This window comes from Homo sapiens, chromosome 2, assembly GCF_000001405.40.
Source record: "Homo sapiens chromosome 2, GRCh38.p14 Primary Assembly".
NCBI classification, from domain to species: Eukaryota; Metazoa; Chordata; class Mammalia; order Primates; family Hominidae; genus Homo; species Homo sapiens.
In genome coordinates, this window is record NC_000002.12 from 107,883,376 (window position 1) to 107,898,906 (window position 15,531).

General features: G+C 39.8%; 1 protein-coding gene and 1 long non-coding RNA gene across 2 annotated transcripts in view; one reads left to right on the plus strand and one right to left on the minus strand.

Moving 5' to 3' along the window:
• The window catches only part of RGPD4 (RANBP2 like and GRIP domain containing 4), a 65,653-nt gene extending 56,484 nt beyond the window's left edge, over positions 1-9,169 (plus strand). Inside the window, exon 23 of the mRNA NM_182588.3 lies at positions 7,346-9,169. Within this exon, the coding sequence (NP_872394.2) occupies positions 7,346-7,356 (11 nt within the window). The 3' untranslated portion in view covers positions 7,357-9,169. The remainder of the gene's footprint in view (positions 1-7,345) is intronic.
• LOC124906057 (uncharacterized) overlaps positions 1-11,926 on the minus strand; it is a 47,064-nt gene extending 35,138 nt beyond the window's left edge. Inside the window, exon 1 of the long non-coding RNA XR_007087170.1 lies at positions 11,711-11,926. This is a non-coding gene — a long non-coding RNA (uncharacterized LOC124906057). The remainder of the gene's footprint in view (positions 1-11,710) is intronic.
• Between the last annotated feature and the right edge of the window lie 3,605 nt (positions 11,927-15,531).

The following is a 15,531-nucleotide window of genomic DNA, read 5'->3' on the forward strand; positions in this document are numbered from 1 at the left end:
AATCCCACCACTTTGGGAGGCCGAGGCAGGCGGATCACAAGATCAAGATACTGAGACCATCCTGGCCAACATGGTGAAATCTCGTCTCTACTAAAAATACAAAAATTAGCTGGACGTGGTGGCATGCGCCTGTAGTCCCAGCTACTCAGGAGGCTGAGGCAGGAGAGTCACTTGAACTCACGAGGCGGAGGTTGCAGTGATCTGTCACACCACTGTACTCCAGCCTGACGGCAGAGCGAGACTCCATCTCAAAAAAAAAAAAAACAAAAACAAAAAACTATGATGTAGTTAGAGTTGGTTTCCATGTCAGATGGATTTAATACTGTGATGTCATTAACTTCTTTGAAATGCTTCATATACAACTGCTATAGTTAACTGAATTCAAGCTGTATCTTAAGAATTATGGTTTCATTTTTGTTTTAGTTTTAAATTACTTTTATTTTTGACATTTACAAGCACAAGGAAGGCGCTATAATCTCTCTTGAGTTGTCACCCATCTCTAACAGTTTTCAACTCATGGACAATCTTTTGGCATAAATAGGGGAGAGTTAGAGACTTAAATCCCACACATCATTTCTTTCCCCAGTGAATAATTCAATGTTTATTGAATTTCTCTGTCACCTATACCTAGTTTATGTTCATTTTGCCTGTGTTATTGTGAATGTCTTTTTATAGTATCCTAAATAGGGCTCATATATTGCATTTGGTTGATGTTCCTTAAGCTTTATTTTGTTGTTGTGTTTTTGTTTGTTTGAGATGTAGTGTTGCTCTGTCACCCTGGCTGGAGTGCAGTGGTCCGATCATGGCTCACTGCAACCTCCGCCTCCCGGATTCAAGCGATTCTCCTGCCTCGGCCTCCCAAGTAGCTGGGACTACAGATGCACGCCAGCTAATTTTTCTATTTTTAGTAGAGACGAGGTTTCACCATGTTGGCCAGGATGGTCTCAATCTCCTGACCTTGTGATCTGCCCACCTTGGCCTCCCAAAGTGCTGGGATTACAGGTGTGAGACACCACGCCCGGCCATTTTGTTGTTTTTTTATCTATAACAATTATATATATAAATATATTTTTAATGTGCCACTTATTAATTGAAGAAAGTGGTCATTTATGCTATAGCAGTTCTATATTTGGGTTTTAATCATTACAGGGTAACACTGAGCTTGTTCCAATTGCCTATAAATAGGAAGATCCAGGTGCAATTAGGTGGGATGGTGGACAAAAATACATCATAGATGGTATTGTGTGCTTTCTAAGACATCAGGAGGCCCAGAATGTCCAGACATCTTACTTTTGACTGATTGACCTTATCTAGTTGGTGTTCTTTAACATGTTCCCCATCCCCTGTAAACCCTAATAACTAAACTGATAAGAGTCATCCTCAAAATTGAGCAGGCATCTGAATCATCTGGTATACTTACTAAAATTCCAATTGCTGGTCCCCAATTTCTGACCCAAGATTCTGCATTTTTAGCAATTTGTTGCTGATACTTCTGGTCTGGGGCCCATACCTTGAAAACCCCTGGTCTAGAGGCCTGATAAGATTCAGGCTTAATTTTTTTTACAGACATACTTCATAAGTAGTATTGATAGTTTCTTTGAATCTGGTTTTTTATAATCTTTCTAATGATGAAGGAGGAATGTTCTCAATACTGACAGTAATCTCAGTTCTTCAAACTACAGGATAGGTTTCTATAGCCACAATAGTATTTTTGTCACAAGGGCCCAAATAAGAATACATCATGTATATTTTTAGTAGTTATTCAGATTACAAATTCACTGTCTTTAATTTATTCTAACAAAAGTAAACCTAATTTTATAGTTATAAAAAAGAAGAAATCTACTTCTAGTCACCTAAGAGTAAAACTGCCCCTATAAAAAACAAGACAGAAATCTCAAAATTATAACTAATTTTATAGTTATAAAATTAACCAGGACTTTAAGAACGTTTGCATTTTAAAATTAAAGTTTTCAATAGTTTTCAATACAACAATGATATTATCTCAAAATACTGAGCATGTCTAACAGCCCTCTTTTAAAAGCTCAGCATGTTTAATGTAGATGTTGCTAATGTCCAGGTGGCTCCTATAAGTTAAGGGTCCATTGATTTAGAAGTTCTAAAAGAGACTAACCTAAGGGATACCAAGAACAGATATTTTTAAAGAATTTCATAGAGGAGATACACATTGGAAACCCAGAACTCTAAGATGTGCATTTGGTAAGTCCTGTAAACAGACAGGAAAACACATTTAAATTAGTTTGCCCTTTAAAGATTATTTACTACTTGTCTCTTATCAATGTGAGTACATAAAAGAGACCTTATTACAATTAAAAACAATGATGGTTTAGCAGCAGATTTAGATACCTTACATTCTCTCTTTAAGAGAGAGAATGTAAGGCCTGGCACGGTGGCTCACACCTGTAATCCAGCACTTTGGGAGGCTGAGGAGGGTAGATCACCTGAGGTCAGGAGTTCAAGACCAGCCTGGCCAACATGGTGAAACCCCGTCTCTACTCAGAATACAAAAATTAGCTGGGCGTGGTGGTGCATGCCTGTAATCCCAGCTACTTGGGAGGCTGAGGTAGGAGAACTGCTTGAACCCAGGAGGCAGAGGTTGCAGTGAGCCGAGATGGTGCCATTGCACTCCAGCCCGAGCAACAAGATCAAAACTCTTATCTCAAAAAAAAAAAAAAAAGTAAACTACAAGATAGTTCAAAAGAAATTACACAGAATTCAGCATGGGAGAAACAAAAAACAAGAGTGGGAAAAGACATCAAACATGTTTTTACTAATCGAAGTTCTAAAAGGAGAGACAAGAATACAGCACAGATAATATATGAAGAGAATGGCTGGAAATCTTTCAGAACTGTTGAAGGATATCTATCCACAGATTCAAAAACCCAATAAAATCTCAAGCAGTATTAAAAAAAAAAAGAAGAAATCTACTTCTAGTCACATAAGAGTAAAACTGCCCCTAAAAAAGACAGACAGAAATCTCAAAAGCAGCCAGAGAAAGAAGACACATTGCCTCACAATAGACTTCTCAACAGCATTGGTGTAATACTATCTCATGTACTAAAAGAAATAACTGCCAACCTTTTATATTTTCCAAGATCTCTTCTGGAAAACAAAAACTTTAAGAATCTGCCTTCACTGAAAATTCTTAATGATGTACTTCAAGCAAAAAGAAAATTTCCTAGGTAAAAGGTCTAAGATGCCAGAAAGAAAGACATGCAAAGGAAACTTACCACCATATTACAGATATGGACTGTCAGTCTGACTGGTCACACTAGGGGGGCATTTTGTTACCAAGGCCTTGAAAATAATAACCAACACTGCATACATGAGGGATGCTAGAAGAAAGGTCTGAGAGCCACTCTTCCTGGCACTGAAGGAAACAGGGCCCATCAGAGCAAACAAGTACCTTTTACCTCTCTCATCTCCTTGGAAGCAAATGTTTATAATCTCTGGTTTTGTGTAAAGTTTATAATAGTATTTTTCATTCAGGTTGCTACCTATTAGTGGATGGTGAAATTAATTTGGTGGATCACATTCAGAATATTTTTTTAAAATCAAAAGAATACAAGCTGGGCTCAGTGACTCACACCTGTAAGCCCAACAGTTTGAGAAGACCAGGCAGGAGGATTGCTTGAGAACAGGAGTTCAGAATCAGCCTGGGCAACATGGCGAGACCCTATGTCTACAAAAATTTTAAAATATGCCAGTTCTGGTGGCATGTGCCCATAGTCCTAGCTACTCGGGAGGCTAAGGCAGCAGGATTCTTTGTTATAAGGAGTTCGAGGCTGCAGTCGAACTTCTGGTCGAAATCCTGGTCACGCCACTGCATTTCAGCCTGGGCAACAGAGTAAAACCCCATCTTTAAAAAAAATTAAGAAATAAAAATAATATGTGAAACATTAGAATATGTTGAATCTAGTAAGGCTAATGTTGAATCTAGTAAGGATAAGCAATTATTTCTTGACACTCTACATATATACATGAGTGTTGGTAAATACCTGACTGTATCATCAGCTCTAGATATAAAATGTTTATGATGTTGGCTGTGAGTTAATGATGAATAGTTTTCCTTTCTGTGGGTTTGGGTGTATTTGGGAAACATTAGCTTAGGGGGTAAAGTAGGTTACCCAACTCTGAAAAGCAGCATCAAAATCTTTATAATAAACACATACTAGGGGCCCAACTTAAATTTCAAGCAGATGTCATGAGCTGCTCAGAGTAGCGTGTTACAACTCTGCGTTATAAGGTAAAATGACTTAGAGTGTAGCAGTAGTCCCCAAACAATGTCAAATAGACAGTGGTAAGTATAGATTGCTCTTCTCCTTGCATCACAAATGTTAATTCACCCTGCCCCCACACGCATTAAAACTCAGCATATTTCACAAATTGAGTGTTTCATTTCTATTTGAGATAGACTTATGGTAAGTCAGCTTTGCTCCCCAAATAAGTTAGCCATATAGTACTTCTATATGCAAAATTTGAATCTCAATTTTACTACTCAAGCCGGAAGTAAAAGTCATTTTTCTATATCTTCTTTGCTCCCAGACTGGGTTACAGTTTACAGATCTGAATATTGTCACTTGTACACCATACATACACAGAGGTCTAAAACTCTCTACAAGTAAATAAAGAAAAAAAGCCCAGCAACCCAATAGGAAAATAGGCCAAGCCTGTTATAGGCTTTTTGATCATCTCCAGACTGGCAGGAAGAGAATGCATACTCACACTGTAAGTGCCTGATTTGATTTGCAGAGGATATAGAACCTTATCAGAAAACAACCTTCCAAGGCAAGAGCAAATGCACCCTATCTAAGCACAGCTTTTCTCCAATTCTTATTTACCTAAGGAGATGAATAGTTACCAGGAACATTGTTTGCACAAGGGCAGGAGCCTGCCAGATCTGAGAACACAGCAAAATTTTTATTTTGTCAAAAATCTTATATTCAGCTTACACCATTCATTGCAGGTGAACATACAACAGTGCATTTCAGTTTAGGGAAATGTTTACAGTCATCTGGTTCTCTTTATTCCTGGGAACAAGGTTACCTCACTTGGAACACATAACCAGTGCCAAGTTGTCCATCCCTAAGCAATATCGCTTCCTTCTACTTTCTAGAAGTTCTTCAGATTGTGGAAGAGAGACTTTTCAGAGTTCTTTGCCCTCATTCCCTCCTCCAGAAATTCATGCCTTTGTATAATCTCTTCCCCTTCAGAGCCAGTAGGCTAACCTAATGAGTTATTTTTAACCAGTAGAATACAGCAAAAATGATAGATTACAAGAGATTGTGGCTTCTATCTTGCTAGTGGACTCTCTCTGTCTTCTCTGCTTGCACACTTTGTTGAAGCAAGCTACCATCCCAGAGGCAAGGAACACAGGCCATCAGTTTAGCAGCCTTGAGGAACTAAACTCTTCCAACTACCACATAAGTTTGGAAGTAGATTCTCCAGTCCAGCCTTCAGATGAGACCCCAGCCATGCCAACATCTTGATTGCAGCCCTGTGAGAGACCTTGAAATAGAACCATTTCTGATCTCCTGACCCACAGAAACTGTGAAATAAATATGTGTTAAGGTACTAAGTTTGTAGTAATTTGTTACGCAGCAGATTGTAAATAACACGCAGATAAAACCAGACAGAACAGAAAAATAAAATGACTTTAACTCTAGAAAGTTTCCCCATGTAAAATTTTGAAAATGCTACTCTGCGTAAGGTCAAACTGTCATACATATATACGTATGAAAACACAGAATGGTGTCTGGAAGGGTAATGCCAAATTAAATCTTTATCCAAGAGGAATGAAAACCAGTATTCACACAAAATCCTATGCACAAACCTTGTGAATATATTAAAAACCAGTGAATTATGCACTTTAAAAAGGTGAATTATGTGGTATATGAATTATATCTCCAAAACATTTAATTAAAAACCTGTACACAATTATTCGTAGAAACTTTCTTTAAAATTGCTAAAAACGAGGAAGATCTCAGTTATCCTTCAACTGGCAAATGAATAAACAAACTGGTACAGCCATGCAATTGAATACTGCTCAGCAATAAAAAAGAATGCACTGCCAGTACAGCAACATGGATAATTCTCAAATGCATTATGCCAGTTGACAGAGGTCAGACTCAAAATACTATGTACAGTGTGATTCTACTTATATGACACTGAAAAAAGCAGAACTATAAGGACAGAAAACAGGTTAGCGGTTGCCAAGGAGTGGGAGAAGCAGCCAGGGAGAACTTTGAGGAGGTGAAAATGTGCCAGGCCTTGGTCGGTGGTGGTACGTAACTGTGCATTTGTCAAGACTCAGTGCTATACGCTGAAAAGGGCAGGTTTTACTATAAGTAAGTTGTACCTCAATAAACATGATTTTTAAATGATTAAAACTTTGGTTTTTGTTTGTTTTGGTTCAGTTTTAAGGTTTACCATAAATCTATTGGTTTTAGATTCTAAGTTGTATATAAGCTTCTGTTTTAAAAGAATTTTTTTTAAAATCCTCTTATCATCAACAATATTTAGTTGTGCTGGAAATTTTATTTTGGAATTGTTTAATAGAGAAAGACAATAAATAATGTTCAAGAACAGACATTGATTCATAACATCAAAGTATATTGTGAGAAGATGGTATTTCAGAATAGAGGAAGAATTTCTTATGTGCTGGTAAGATTGTAGATAATCATTTCTGCATAATTTTCATAGCTGGATTGCTTTAATAAAGCCATTTAAAGGTTAAGTTCTAGATTGCTTCATGTTGCTTATCAATGTTTTAAAGCTAAAATAGAAAATTAGCTGTTAAGTTGGCTCAACCGGAAATTCAGTATATCCTTTAAAAAGAGAAATTTAGTAAGCAGTGTGTCTAAAGAATGACATATGGTTGGGTACAGTGGCTCGTGACTGTAATCCCAACACTGTAAGGCTGAAGTGGGAGGATCACTTGAGCCCAGGAATTTGAGACCAGCCTGGAAAACAGTGAGACCTGCATCTCTACAAAAAAACAAAAAATTACCCAGGCATGGTGGCACACACCTTGTGGTCCCAGTTGCTTGGGAGGCTGAGGTGGGAGAATCACTTGAGCCTGGGAGATCAAGGCTGCACTGAAGTCTCATCACGCCACTGCACTCCAGCCTGGGTGACAGAGCAAGACCCTGTCTCAAAAAAAAAAAAAAAAAAAAAAAAAGAACCCCCCCCCCCCAACAAAAAAGGCATGTGATCAGTAAAAAAGACATTATTTGCTTATATTGTAGAGTGGTTCTAAAATATAGATTTTACATTGAGAAATTTTAATACTCTCTTTTTTCTTTTTTTTTTGTTTTACTTTCCAAAGGTGAGGAATAAAATGCTTCCCGTTCTTCTGGATGGGCATCCTATCTTCGTAGTTGGTTTGGACTTCGATAGGTTGATGGAAGGAATATTTTTATTAACCAAATAAAATCTATTTACAAAAATGGTTCATGTGTATTACCATCATTCTTTTGTCAAAAAGTGTGTATATGTTTGCATTTACATATATTTGTACATCTATATGACAGATGTATTTTAAAAGTTTCAACTTGAAGTAAAAGTACAACAGCTTGAAGTATTGATACCAGGCCACAGCCCTCTAACTCATGTGATCTCCCATGCATGCTGCCAGAATAAAACCACCAGGAATGAATTCACTCCCCACTTCTCTGGAACCTCAGGACCCGCCCATTTCTCGGCAGTACTGTGAATTTTGAAGTTAAACTAAATTTTGGTACCATACCAACTGGAATTTAGGCTTTAAAAATAATGTTTCAAGGCCAGGTGTGGTGATTCATGCCTGAAATCCCACTACTTTGGGAGGCTGAGGCTGGAGAATCGTTTGAGGCTAGTGAGCTGTGATTGTACCACTGCACTCCAGCTCGGGGAACAGAGCGAGACCTTGTCTCTAAAAATAATAATAGTAATAAAAATAACATTTTATGACTATTTATTGCAAGGTCAGATTTACAGATTGTTATAAATTGTTGAGAAATTTTTGTGATTAGAATATGAAGGAAAAAGCTTTGTTGGTAAAAGTGACATGTTAAGGGGCTATGAAGTAAATATGCTGCAGTTAATTGTGCTAAGTTAAAATACAGTTTAGTTATTTGCTTTAAAATAAACTCTTCTTTTTTTCTTTAAAGTATACTATCTCAAAACTCATTATGTTGTCAGAGCCCTAGAGCTGGCTAATGTAACACTGACTATGAGTAGGTGGGCCCACCACTTGAGTTGAGGTGATTTCATGGTGTCTTTCCAGGCTCTTGATAGGGTGTCACTGCATGCAAGCCATGAATCTGTTTTGAGAATCCTCTCCATTTTCCCAAATAAAAACCTATCCCAACAGTGACTATATCACTCAGCATTGGATCTAAATATAAAAGTGGTGCTTTCAGTGTTTTTGGCAGATAGTGTTCCATAAGCTTTCCATCAGAAGGGATTTTAGACACCTTAGAGGTCCGTGCTACATCTTCACAGTTCCTCTGAATAACCTTAGGTGGTAGTGTTACTTGCCTTTGACACCTCTGCATATGTTTTAATGACTAGATCCAAACTGTGTTGTTCTTAAATCAAAAATTGGATAATTTTTAATATTTATGTATTAATCACATAGTATGCTCTCTGAAGTTCTCTTAAGCCTTCAGTTTATACTCTTAATTTTCTTTCTGAGCTGGGGAACTGACTTTGCACTTTGGTTACACAGAACATTGGTTTCCAATTTAGTTTAACTGAAATTTGCTGCTGATATGTTGAGTTTGTTCTTTAAAAAATATCTCATATGTCTCGTCTTTCCTCCTTAGAAGAACAGACCTAACTAGCGAATGTATGAATGAAAATGCATCTATTTCAGAGCCGACATGAAGAGTTTAGTTTTTTTACTTTATAAACTGTGAATATGAGTATGCCAGCTGCATTAGATGTAACTAATCATATTTAAATATATTTCACTTTCTCTTTGACTTGAGACCTTTTGAAGTCTGTATAAACTTGTTTTGAAATATAGTCTCCACTTACAAATGTCATAACAAAATACTTTTTTGCATGATAAAAAATTGATTACAAAAGGCATATTCTTTCATGGTTTCTGCAATGAGAGGAAGTGTAATGATTATTTTAATATTTCTATTAAATATGTTTAACTGTATATTTTTATGGCAGCTCTTTTATGTTACACACTGTCTCTTTGGGGTTGTTAATTGGTTTCTGAAAGGGAACTTCAAACTCCTTTACTACTGGCCTTCCATGGTTGGTCCCTATTAGGTTGTTGTGAGAACGTCGACCAACTCTTTGATACCCGCCACGTAGACCGTAGTACCTGCCATGTCTGACACCCTGCATCCAGCTAAAACCAGAAACAGCGCTGGGCCTCCCTGTGGACAAGACATTGATTTGACCAGAAGCAGATGTCTGGCTAAGGCTGCCAACCAAAGGGTGGCCTTAGATGAAGGGCTTTGTTCAGTTAGGGGCAGAGGTCATTAATTTTTTTTTTTTTTTTTTTGAGACAGAGTCTTGCTCTGTCGCCCAGGCGTGAGTGCAATGGCGCGATTTCGGGTCACTGCAAGCTCTGCCTCCCAGGTTCACGCCATTCTCCTGCCTCAGCCTCCTAAGTAGCTGGGACTACAGGCGCCCGCCACCATGCCCGGCTAATTTTTTGTATTTTTAGTAGAGACGGGGTTTCACCGTGTTAGCCAGGATGGTCTCGATCTCCTGGAGGTAATTAATTTCTTTGGATGTTTGGACTAGGAGATGGGGAGAGGCAGAGCAGAAAGAGAAACACAGATGCCGCAAGAAGGAGGAACAGAGCTAACCCTGGATAGGACTGGACACAGCAGCCAGACCAAGAGAGGCATCTAGTGAGAAGCAGCTCTTCAGCCCTGGGCCTGGTGCACACATCACTCCTTGGTTTCTAAGAACCAAATTTGGCCCAGCACAGTGGCTCATGCCTGTAATCCCAGCACCTTGGGAGGCCAAAGCGGGTAGATCATGAGGTCAAGAGATCGAGACCATCCTGGCCAACATGGTGAAACCCCGTCTCTACTAAAAACACACAAAAAATCAGCTGGGCATGGTGGTGTGCACCTGTAGTCCCAGCTACTTGGGAGGCTGAGGCAGGAGAATCACTTGAACCCGGGTGGCAGAGTCCAGTGAGCTGAGATCACACTACTGCACTCCAGCCTGGTGACAGAGTGAGACTCCGTCAAAAAAATAAATAAAAATAAAGCCAAATTCATACAGTCCCTGAGGAGTGGGAACTGATGCACATCTCTTGTATACAATAAGCTATGCTTGTGCTCTGAACAGTGTAAGATTGAGAATTGTATTCCTTTAAAGAAAGTTCAGCAGAACTGTAACTGAATTACTAACAAGGCACTGAGAAGGCATACCGTACTTTGTATTCTTTTTAAAGTCCCTGTTAGGTGGTGGTGTAGCTGGAAGTGTATAGTATTGAGGATGTAAAGTTTCCCCTAAAAAATTTTTGGTATTTGGCGAATGGCATAACACATCAAAAAATTGGTTGTATCACATGATTAAATTGCAACGTGATGATTTCAACTTGGTGGAAGACTTCTGCTTCGTCTTGGTATGTGAAAATCCCCTTTGCTTCAAACTTAATACACACCAAGGAAAACAACCTGATACAAGTTTGCAAGTGTCTTTGAGCTAATGGCTTTTCATGGGTATTAAAAAGCATTGAGTTATTTATGTATAATTACGTAGAAAGAAAATGTTTGTTCCATTCAAGATACGGTTACACGAAAAGGCATCTAGTTGTGACCTTCAAATTATTACTTATATACCTACAGAAAATTCCTATAAATAGTCTGGGTGCGATGGTTCACACCTGTCATCCCGGCACTTAGGGAGGCCAGGGTGGGCAGATCACCTGAGGTCAGGAGTCCAAGACCAGCCTGGCCAATATGGTGAAAACTTGTCTCTACGAAAAATACAAAAATTAGCCAGGCATGTTGGCCCATGCCTGTAGTCCCAGCTACTCAGCAGGCTGAGGTAGGAGAATCGCTTGAACTCGGGAGGGGAGGCTGCAGTGAGCCAAGATCACACACCACTGCACTCCAGCCTGGGCAACAAAGTGAGACCCCCATCTCAAATAAAGAAAGAAAATTCCTATGAAGAAACACTATACCTCTGAGTTTCAATAATATAGATGATTAACCCAGTTTCCCTGCAAGGATGTGCTCACTGTGAACAGATGTAGTGGTTACCACTCCAGATGTCTGCCTAGCATTTGAGACAACCTGTCACCCCTGCCTCTCTCTGGGAACTTTTGCCCCACCACCATACAGAGGGGCAGTAGGCCCAGCCATAATCAACTGAAACAGATACAGAGTTATGACCTGAGCCTAGGCAATTAGGTTTTCTCAGGAATATGGATCTGGGACTAAAGAACTCAGCATCTTCCTGTGACTGGAATTGTAGCATGTAAGTACAGAAGCTTTGGAGTGCCCAGAAAGAGCAGAGAAAGCCAGCCAAGAGAGTGCCAGGTTTAAGTTGACAGAAGAGGTCAACAAAATCGTGAAGTGAGTGTTCTGGGGACCTGAGAGTCAAGGGACTGGATTCTGTACAATGTCTCTGCATCATCATAGTAAACTTTCTACACATGCTTTGAAAGTAAATATCAGATAATTTGGAGCACAGTATAATGGTAAAGTATAAACTGTGAACTTACACAAGGACACCACAATTTCCGCCTCACTGACGAATAACTTGGGGCATGTTCTTGACTGCTCTGAGCCCCCATTTCTTTATCTGTAAAAAGGAAATAAATTACATAGTTGTGAGTTATTGGACGACATAAAACCCAGCACAGAGGGCTGGGCGCGGTGGCTCACGCCTGTAATCCCAGCACTTTGGGAGGCCAAGGTGGGCGTATCACAAGGTCAGGAGATCGGGAGCATCCTGGCTAACACGGTGAAACCCCGTCTCTACTAAAAATACAAAAAATCAGCCAGGCATGGTGGCGGATGCCTGTAGTCCCAGCTACTTGGGAGGCTGAGGCAGAAGAGCAGAAGAATGGCGTGAACCCAGGAGGTGGAGCTTGCAGTGAGCCGAGATTGCGCCACTGCACTCCAGCCTGGGCGATAGAGCAAGACCCCATCTCAAAAAAAAAAAAAAAAAAAAAAACCCAGCACAGAGTAGGCATGCCAGCATTCTCTCACTTCTCAGCCTGCAAAAAGATTTACCAATTTACCTCATTTTCTTCTGTTCCTTGTTCTGACCTCAGTGCATGACCCATAGCACCAAGTGTTACTGTCGTTTATGAGTGAACAATTGTGTTAATAAGGAAATAAATTGAATGTTTTCCAGCATTTTGACCTTATTTTTTAAAACTTTGTACCTCCCAGAGCTGGGAAGAGATTCCAGATTTCCAGACTTAGTCCAGAGTCATGACTAATGCTGGACTTCGTCTATAGCTCTTATTGAAATGTCAGAAAACATTTTTTGCCCCAAAAACTATTAACTGATAAATTTATAGCATCAAACTGCATTTTTTAAAGGAGGCTTTTTGTTTTTTCTTTTTTGAGAGAGAGAGTCTTGCTCTGTCGCCCAGGCTGGAGTGCCTTGGCATAGTCTCAGTTCTCTGCAATCTCTGCCTCCCGGTCTCAGGTGATTCTCCTGCCTCAGCCTCCCAAGTAGCTGGGACTACAGGTGTGTACCACCACATCCGGCTGATTTTTGTTTGTTTGTTTTTGGTAGAGACGAGGTTTTGCCATGTTACCTAGGCTGATCTTGAACTCCTGGACTCAAGTGATCCACCCACCTTGGCTTCCCAAAGTGCTGAGATTTCAGGTGTGAGCCACCACACCTGGCCAAAAGAGACTTTTTTTTTTTTTTTTTTTTTTTGAGACGAGTGTCGCTCTGTTGCCAGGCTGGAGTACAGTGGCATGGTCTCAGCTCACTGCAACCTCCACCTCCTGGGTTCAAGTGATTCCCCTGCCTCAGCCTCCCGAGTAGCTGGGACTACAGGCACGCGCCACCACGCCCGGCTAATTTTTTGTATTTTTAGTAGAGATGGAGTTTCACTGTGTTAGCCAGGATGGTCTCGATCTCCTGACCTCGTGATCTGCCCACCTTGGCCTCCCAAAGTGCTGGGATTACAGGCGTGAGCCACCGCGCCCAGCCCATGCCTGGCTAATTTTTTTTTTTTTTTTTTTTTTTTTTTTGGATTTTAGTAGAGACAAGTTTTCACCATGTTGCCCAGCTGGTCTTGAACTCCTGAGTGCAGGCAATCCACCCACCTCACCCTCCCAAAGTGCTAGGATTACAGGTATTTGGTTTTTTGTTTGGTTTTCAAGCAACCTTTCTCAATTTTGCTATGCTCACTCTTTCTTCACATGTTGGTACTGGCTAGATACAGATTTTGCTTTCCTATTGGAGACTCTTTTGAGAGCTGGCTATTCCCTCTTGCTCCTTTTCTTTTTTCTCTTCCCTACTTTCAAGTTTCTTGCTCTTTTTCTTACCCCATAAGTTACCAGAAATTCATACCCCCTTGAGAGGGCTTTTTGTTTGAACTTGTCTTTAGTTTCATCAACTTTTCTAAGGAAATTGATCTGTTAATGAAAGTTGGCTTGCTTGACTTCAGAATATCTGTATTATTCAGTGATATGTGTTTTTCTGGTTGCTTTGTTTGAGCATAGTGTAAATATCACCCATTGCATAGCTATGGCAGTGACATAAATCTAGCAGCGTAAGATAGAGAAAAGCTAGAAGTCCCACCACAGATTGTATTTCAGTGAAAGGGATTCATTTTAACTGCTTATAAAACTAAAGAAAACTTATAAACATGGAAAACAATTATTAAACCCACCATATGCTCATACTGATATTAAATGGTGTGCCGGATTCTAGAAAGAGTTACCTTTTGGTAAGAGCACTGCATGTTAACTATGGTTGGTTGCTTTAGATGTCTAGTGTGTACACAAAAGCATGAATTTTATTCCTTATAACCAAAGTAGAAACCTACTCTGAGCAATTTGACAAAAGGTTTACATTATTTATTTTAGTGTAGTTTAAGATTACAGTAAGATGCAATTCCCAAAGAGTGAAATATAAGGCTGGGCGTGGTGGATCACACCTGTAATCCTAACACTTTGGGAGGCTGAGGCGGGTGGAGCACCTGAGATCAGGAGTTCGAGACCAGCCTGGCCAACATGATGAAACCCCATCTCTACTAAAAATACAACAATTAGCCAGACGTGGTGGTGCCCACCTGTAATCCCAGCTACTAGGGAGGCTGAGGCAGGAGAATCCCTTGAACCTGGGGGGGTGGAGGCTGGAGTGAGCTGAGATCATGCCATTGCACTCCAGCCTGGGCACACTCTCAAAAAAAAAAAAGTGCAATATAACTTTTCACAAAATATGGAACTGTGGTAGTCTAGAACAATGTCTCAATATACCTCCTACACGAAGTATAATAGTAAATATCTGTATTTGGTGGCATAATATGCTCTTAGTATAAACCAAAAACATATGCTGAGCATTGGACATTGTCCAATGTTTAATTCATATGATTCATTCTGAGTTTCTGACTGAGATCATTCTTTCAGACTATGTGTATTTTTCCTGGGATCCATAAAATATGCAGCCCTAACATGATTTCATTTTTGTTTCCTTTCCTGGAAAAGGAGAAATCATTCAGATCAGCTTTCATATTGCCTTATAGACGATGACTTCAAAATAGTTTTAAAGGGACTCCTTTGTTCTAGAACTGCTCTAACACAGTATCCACTAGCCACATGTGGCTATTGAAAGATTGAAATGTGGTTATTCCAAATCAGGATGTACAGTAAATATAAAATACCCACCAGATTTCAAAGGCTTACATGAAAAAAGTAATGTGAAATATCTCACTAGTAGTTTTTATAGTGATTACATGTTGAAATTTTAACATTGTGAACATATTAGTTTAAATAAAATGTATTGTGAAAATTAATTTCACGTTTCTATTTACTTTTGATAAAAGTACTACTAGAGGCTGGGTGTGGTGGCTCACTCCTGTAATCCCAGCACTTTGGGAGGCTGAGGTGGGAGGATCACGAGGTCAGGAGACCGAGACCATCCTGGCTAACACGGTGAAACCCCGTCTCTACTAAAAACACAAAAAATTAGCCAGGCGTGTTGGCAGGCGCCTGTAGTCCCAGCTACTAGGGAGGCTGAGGCAGGAGAATGGCGCGAACCTGGGAGGCGGAGCTTGCAGTGAGCTGAGATCGTGCCACTGCACTCCAGCCTGGGCTTCAGAGCGAGACTCCGTCTCAGAAAAAAAAAACACTACTAGCACATTTTTAAATTACTTGTAGTGATCTCATTTGTACCACATTACATTTCAATCGTATACTGCTTTTCTAAAGAGTCACTGCTAAGCCCTGAAATTAACTCCAAATACCTCCCTGGAATACAGTGCCAAGGCAGGGGCTTCCTTGAACTTCAACCTCTAAAACTAAGCAAGAATTGAGAAATATCTTCTGCTTTGAAAAATATTCACTCCCCAAC